The following is a 7,081-nucleotide window of genomic DNA, read 5'->3' on the forward strand; positions in this document are numbered from 1 at the left end:
CTGAGACAATGGGGTTTTCTAGATATACAATCATGTCATCTGCAAACAGGGACAATTTGCCTTCTTCTTTTCCTAATTGAATACCCTTTATTTTCTTCTCCTGCCTGATTGCCCTGGCCAGAACTTCCAACACTATGTTGAATAGGAGTGGTGAGAGAGGGCATCCCTGTCTTGGGCCCATTTTCAAAGGGAATGCTTCCAGTTTTTGCCCATTCAGTATGATATTGGCTGTGCGTTTGTCATAGATAGCTCTTATTATTTTGAGATACGTCCCATCAATACCTAGTTTATTGAGTTTTTAGCATGAAGGGTTGTTGAATTTTGTCAAAGGCCTTCTCTGCATCTATTGAGATAATCGTGTGGTTTTTCTCTTTTGTTCTGTTTATATGTTGGATTACATTTATTGATTTGCATATGTTGAACCAGCCCTGCATCCCGGGGATGAAGCCCACTTGATCATGGCGGATAAGCTTTTTGATGTGCTGCTGGATTCGGTTTTCCAGAATTTTACTGAGGATTTTTGCATCGATGTTCGTCAAGGATATTGGTCTAAAATTCTCTTTTTTGGTTGTGTCTCTGCCCGGCTTTGGTATCAGGATGATGCTGTCCTCATAAAATGAGTTAGGGAGGATTCCTTCTTTTCTATTGATTGGAATAGTTTCAGAAGGAATGGTACCAGCTCCTTTTTGTACCTCTGGTAGAATTCGGCTGTGAATCCATCTGGTCCTGGACTTTTTTTGGTTGTTAAGCTATTGATTATTGCCTCAATTTCAGAGCCTGTTATTGGTCTATTCAGAGATTCAACTTCTTCCTGGTTTAGTCTTGGGAGGGTGTATGTGTTGAGGAATTTATCCATTTCTTCTAGATTTTCTAGTTTATTTGCATAAAGGTGTTTATAGTATTCTCTTATGGTAGTTTGTATTTCTGTGGGATCGGTGGTGATATCCCCTTTATCATTTTTTATTGCGTCTATTTGATTCTTCTCTCTTTTCTTCTTTATTAGTCTTGCTAGTGGTCTATCAATTTTGTTGATCTTTTCAAAAAACCAGCTACTGGATTCATTGATTTTTTGAAGGGTTTTTTGTGTCTCTATTTCCTTCAGCTCTGCTCTCATCTTCATTATTTCTTGCCTTCTGCTAGCTTTTGAATGTGTTTGCTCTTGCTTTTCTAGTTCTTTTAATTGTGATGTTAGGGTGTCAATTTTAGATCTTTCCTGCTTTCTCTTGTGGGCATTTAGTGCTATAAATTTCCCTCTACACACTGCTTTGAATGTGTCCCGGAGATTCTGGTATGTTGTGTCTTTGTTCTCGTTAGTTTCAAAGAACATCTTTATTTCTGCCTTCATTTCGTTATGTACCCAGTAGTCATTCAGGAGCAGGTTTTTCAGTTGAGTAGTTTCCATGTAGTTGAGTGGTTTTGAGTGAGTTTCTTAATCCTGAGTTCTAGTTTGATTGCACTGTGGTCTGAGAGACAGTTTGTTATAATTTCTGTTCTTTTACATTTGCTAAAGAGTGCTTTACTTCCAACTCTGTGGTCAATTTTGGAGTAGGTGTGGTATGGTGCTGAAAAGAATGTATATTCTGTTGATTTGGGGTGGAGAGTTCTGTAGATGTCTATTAGGTCCGCTTGGTGCAGAGCTGAGTTCAATTCCTGGGTATCCTTGTTAACTTTCTGTCTCATTGATCTGTCTAATGTTGACAGTAGGGTGTTAAAGTCTCCCATTATTATTGTGTGGGAGTCTAAGTCTCTTTGTAGGTCACTAAGGACTTGCTTTATGAATCTGGGTGCTCCTGTATTGGGTGCATATATATTTAGGATAGTTAGCTCTTCTTGTTGAATTGATCCCTTTACCATTATGTAATGGCCTTCTTTGTCTCTTCTGATCTTTGTTGGTTTAAAGTCTGTTTTATCAGAGACTAGGATTGCAACCCCTGCCTTTTTTTGTTTTCCATTTGCTTGGTAGATCTTCCTCCAGCCCTTTATTTTGAGCCTATGTGTGTCTCTGCACGTGAGATGGGTTTCCTGAATACAGCACCCTGATGGGTCTTGACTCTTTATCCAATTTGCCAGTCTGTGTCTTTTAATTGGAGCATTTAGTCCATTTACATTTAAAGTTAATATCGTTATGTGTGAATCTGATCCTGTCATTATGATGTTAGCTGGTTATTTTGCTCCTTAGTTGATGCGGTTTCTTCCTAGCCTCGATGGTACTGGTTGTTCCTTTCCATGTTTAGTGCTTCCTTCAGGAACTCTTTTAGGGTAGGCCTGGTGGTGACAAAATCTCTCAGCATTTGCTTGTCTGTAAAGTATTTTATTTCTCCTTCACTTATGAAGCTTAGTTTGGCTGGATGTGAGATTCTGGGTTGAAAATTCTTTTCTTTAACAATGTTGAATATTGGTCCCCACTCTCTTCTGGCTTGTAGAGTTTCTGCCGAGAGATCAGCTGTTAGTGTGATGGGCTTCCCTTTGTGGGTAACCCGACCTTTCTCTCTGGCTGCCCTTAACATTTTTTCCTCCATTTCAACTTTGGTGAATCTGACAATTATGTGTCTTGGAGTTGCTCTTCTCAAGGAGTATCTTTGTGGCGTTCTCTGTATTTCCTGAATTTGAATGTTGGCCTGCCTTGCTAGATTGGGGAAGTTCTCCTGGATAATATCCTGCAGAGTGTTTTCCAACTTGGTTCCATTCTCCCCATCACCTTCAGGTACACCAATCAGACGTAGATTTGGTCTTTTCACATAGTCCCATATTTCTTGGAGGCTTTGTTCATTTCTTTTTATTCTTTTTTCTCTAAACTTCTCTTCTCGCTTCATTTCATTCATTTCGTCTTCCATCACTGATACCCTTTCTTCCTGTTGATCGCATTGGCTACTGAGGCTTCTGCATTCGTCACGTAGCTCTCGTGCCTTGGTTTTCAGCTCCATCAGGTCCTTTAAGGACTTCTCGGCATTGGTTATTCTAGTTATCCATTCATCTAATTTTTTTTCAAAGCTTTTAACTTCTTTGCCATTGGTTCGAATTTCCTCCTGTAGCTCAGAGTAGTTTGATCATCTGAAGCCTTCTTCTCTCAACTCGTCAAAGTCATTCTCCATCCAGCTTTGTTCCATTGCTGGTGAGGAGCTGCATTCCTTTGGAGGAGGAGAGGTGCTCTGATTTTTAGAGTTTCCAGTTTTTCTGCTCTGTTTTTTTCCCATCTTTGTGGTTTTATCTACTTTTGGTCTTTGATGGTGGCAACGTACAGATGGGTTTTTGGTGTGGATGTCCTTTCTGTTTGTTAGTTTTCCTTCTAACAGACAGGACCCTCAGCTGCAGGTCTCTTGGAGTTTGCTAGAGGCCCACTCCAGACCATGTTTGCCTGGGTATCAGCAGTGGTGGCTGCAGAACAGCAGATATTGGTGAACCGCAGATGCTGCTGCCTGATCATTCCTCTGGAAGTTTTGTCTCAGAGGAGTACCCGGCCATGTGAGGTATCAGTCCACCCCTACTGGGGCATGCCTCCCAGTTAGGCTATTCGGGGGTCAGGGACCCACTTGAGGAGGCAGTCTGCCTGTTCTCAGATCTCAAGCTGCGTGCTGGGAAAACCACTAATCTCTTCAAAGCTGTCAGACAGGGACATTTAAGTCTGCAGAGGTTACTGCTGTCTTTTTGTTTGTCTGTGCCCTGCCCCCAGAGGTGGAGCCTACAGAGGCAGGCAGGCCTCCTTGAGCTGTGGTGGGCTCCACCCAGTTCGAGCTTCCCAGGGGCTTTGTTTACCTAATCAAACAACTAACTCAGCAATGGTGGGTGCCCCTCCCCCAGCCTCGCTGCCACCTTGCAGTTTGATCTTGGACTGCTGTGCCAGCAATGAGCGAGACTCCGTGGGTGTAGGACCCTCTGAGCCAGGTGTGGGATATTATCTCCTGGTGTGCCGTTTTTTAAGCCCATTGGAAAAGCGCAGTATTAGGGTGGGAGTGACCCAATTTTCCAGGTGCCGTCTGTCACCGCTTTCTTTGACTAGGAAAGGGAATTCCCTGACCCCTTGTGCTTCCCGGGTGAGGCGATGGCTTGCCCTGCTTCAGCTGGCACACGGTGCGCTGCACCCACTGTCGTGCACCTACTGTCTGGCACTCCCCAGTGAGATGAACCCAGTACCTCAGTTGGAAATGCAGAAATCACCCGTCTTCTGCATCACTCACGCTGGAGCTGTAGACCAGAGCTGTTCCTATTCGGCCATCTTGGCTCCTCCAGATTTTCTCACTTATTCTTGAAAGAATTTTTCCAGATTATTATTGTTAACCCAGGAGGCTGTCAAATTAGAAATGAATCTGTGCCTCAAAAGTTAAAGAAACCAGTAACTAATAGAAATAATTGAGTTTGCAAGATGGCAGCTAAGAAAGAAATAATTTGTTGTTAACACTGAAACTCTCTCTGCTTATGAGATAAAGTAACTAACATCAGTTGGAATCAATATGGCCAGTGCATGTCTGTGCAGAACCAGCTTGCTGACATCACCACCTGAATTTATATGAAATGATTCATACTAACTCCCCTTGAATTTGCACATGTGATCCATGAGGTATCATGAAGAGACAACTGCACATCCCCAGAGACTTTCCAGACCTCCACTTTTCTTCCACCAATCACCTAATCTCAAAATCCACCCCCTGAAACTTTTCTAATAAAGATACTGCTTTGAAGCCAGCACAGAGAGACAGATTTGAGCTTCACACTCCTGTCACCTTGTGAGTTAACTTCCAATAAGACGTCTTTCTTCTCTCAAAACCTGGTATCATAGTATCGGCTTCTAGTGCATTGGGCAGCAAGCTCCCTTTAGCTTGATAACAGAGTCTCAGAGTAGAATGTCTTTAAAATCGTCTCTACCCTGCCTCCTGCATCAGCCAGCTAGTCCATGCTTACACATGCCCTGTGCTTTCTCAGCTTTGCTGTCCCACTGCCTGGCCTACAGCAGGCCATGCCCTGGAAGACTCAATTCTGAGTGCAGCCAGCCCTATGAGAGGAGCCACCACACTGGGCACAGCAGTATTGGATCAGCTCTGTGATTGGGGTGAGATTTGAAGAGAGGTCTCCTCCACCTTCTGCCAGACTGCTGCCTGTCAGGACTATTCTCTCTCCGACCCTAGCAAAGACTATTTGGAAGAGCCAACACTTGTGAAGTGGAACATATTGCTGGATCTTGAATCATTCCAAGCTTTCCTTAGGGGACACTGCAAGGGATATATTGGAAGACCTGTCCTGGACCCTGCTCCTTCACTTACAAGCCAGCCTGAACTAACCTCTTTGAGGTTAGTCACTGGTAAGATAGGGATGATGAAGATGATGATGATGTGCCATCTCTCCTGCCTATTCTATAGAATGGCCTTATATCCAATCTGTAACCTGCAAAACCTTTGTACACATACAAAGGTTATTAATAAAATAAACAGCATGTAGCCTTCTACTGGTAGTATAACTTTGGGCAACTTATTGAAACTTTTCTGGGCTTCAGTTTCCTTATATGTAAAATTGGGATAGTAATAATGTATTCCTCTGGTCTATGTGTTCAGGGTTTTGAAATGGTGTTCTAACATCACCTACTATTCACTGGCTAGCAGTACCACTACTTGCCTACAGTAGAATAGAAAGAATTGGAGCTCATTCCTGTGTGTATATATACGTGGTATGATATGAATATGTCTGTCAAAGAAAGGCTAAAGCACTGGTCCAGATTAAAGGAAACTAAAAAGACATGACATCTCACTGAAATATTAATATATAATTCTAAATTGGATTCTGGATAGGGGAGAAAATGCTGTGAAGGACAGTTTGAGGACAATTGGTGAAATTCAGATTTGGACTGTATATGAGATCTTATAAGTATTAAAAGAAATAAAGCAGAAATATTTATAACAGTACCTGGGGTGTAGAAAGCACAATAATTAGTCATTACCTATAGGATGTAAGCCATGTTTTGTTCAGTACCATATCCCCAGAACCTAGAGCACATAATATGTGCTTAATTTTTTTGAGTGAATGAAGAAACTGGGCTCCTACAACAAGACAGAGCTAAGAACTAGGGTGAGGTGCCCAGGGCCAACTGTCCTTACATGCAGGGACTGATTGTCATTGTTGGTTCCTAGTCATTGTTGGTTACCTTAGTGACCCTTGGCATGCAAAACATTCTAAGATTGATCCAATTATTCCAGGTACCTGGTTAACACAACCAAAATTCCTGGCAGCTCTACACATCAAATGCATTTGTAATTTACTAACTTATGATTGCTTAGTGTTTTGCCTGGCAAGGCAAGGGGGTGGGTTTTGCTGCTGTCCTCTGCCTCTCAGGAGACAAAGACAGGCTCTGCTTGGCTGAGGAAGAACCTCAGGCCAATGCTCATCTAATAGGAGTGAAGCTAGCCTTTGTGAGGAGGTTCAGTTGGCAGATCTCAGCTGGATGTCGTGCTGCAGAGAGGTCTCAGATGTCTGGTGGGGTGCCGACATGCAGCACCCCTTCTCCAAGCTCTGGCTGGCAAGCACCTGCCACCCAGATCAGCTGGTCCAGCTCATCACTGTGTGTGTCCTCATCGCCAGATGCTGGGCAGCTGAGGCTGGTCATAGAGCCCCAGAATGAGACAAGTAACACCTTAGATAGTATTCGATCTGCTGCTCTCCTTTGACAGATGAGGAAACTAAGGCCTGGAAATACAAGTTGGCCTGCCCAAGGCCACAGCAGATATTGGCAAATTCATGAAGACTTAGGGCCAGGGCTCCTGATTCTTAGAAGGTGCTCATTACACTTGGCTCTGTTAGCCTATTTTGAGGGGTGAGGATCTCAAAGTGAGGCCACCAAGGGCTAAGAGACAGTACCTAGAGGTCCCTTCACTCTTACTGACTCTGTAGCCATCCTCTAGTTTCTCTTGAACATTTCTGATGTGGGAAAGTTGAATTGTCAAACCCTAGTGTGGGTAGAAATGGGGAAAGAAAATCTGAGCAGTAGCACCTGGAGGGAAAGCAGCAGTTACATTTTAATAAGATAATTTCTAGGCCGGGCACAGTGGCTCACGCCTGTAATCCCAGCACTTTGGGAGGCTGAGGCAGGCAGATGACC

This window comes from Homo sapiens, chromosome 3, assembly GCF_000001405.40.
Source record: "Homo sapiens chromosome 3, GRCh38.p14 Primary Assembly".
Taxonomy (NCBI): Eukaryota; Metazoa; Chordata; class Mammalia; order Primates; family Hominidae; genus Homo; species Homo sapiens.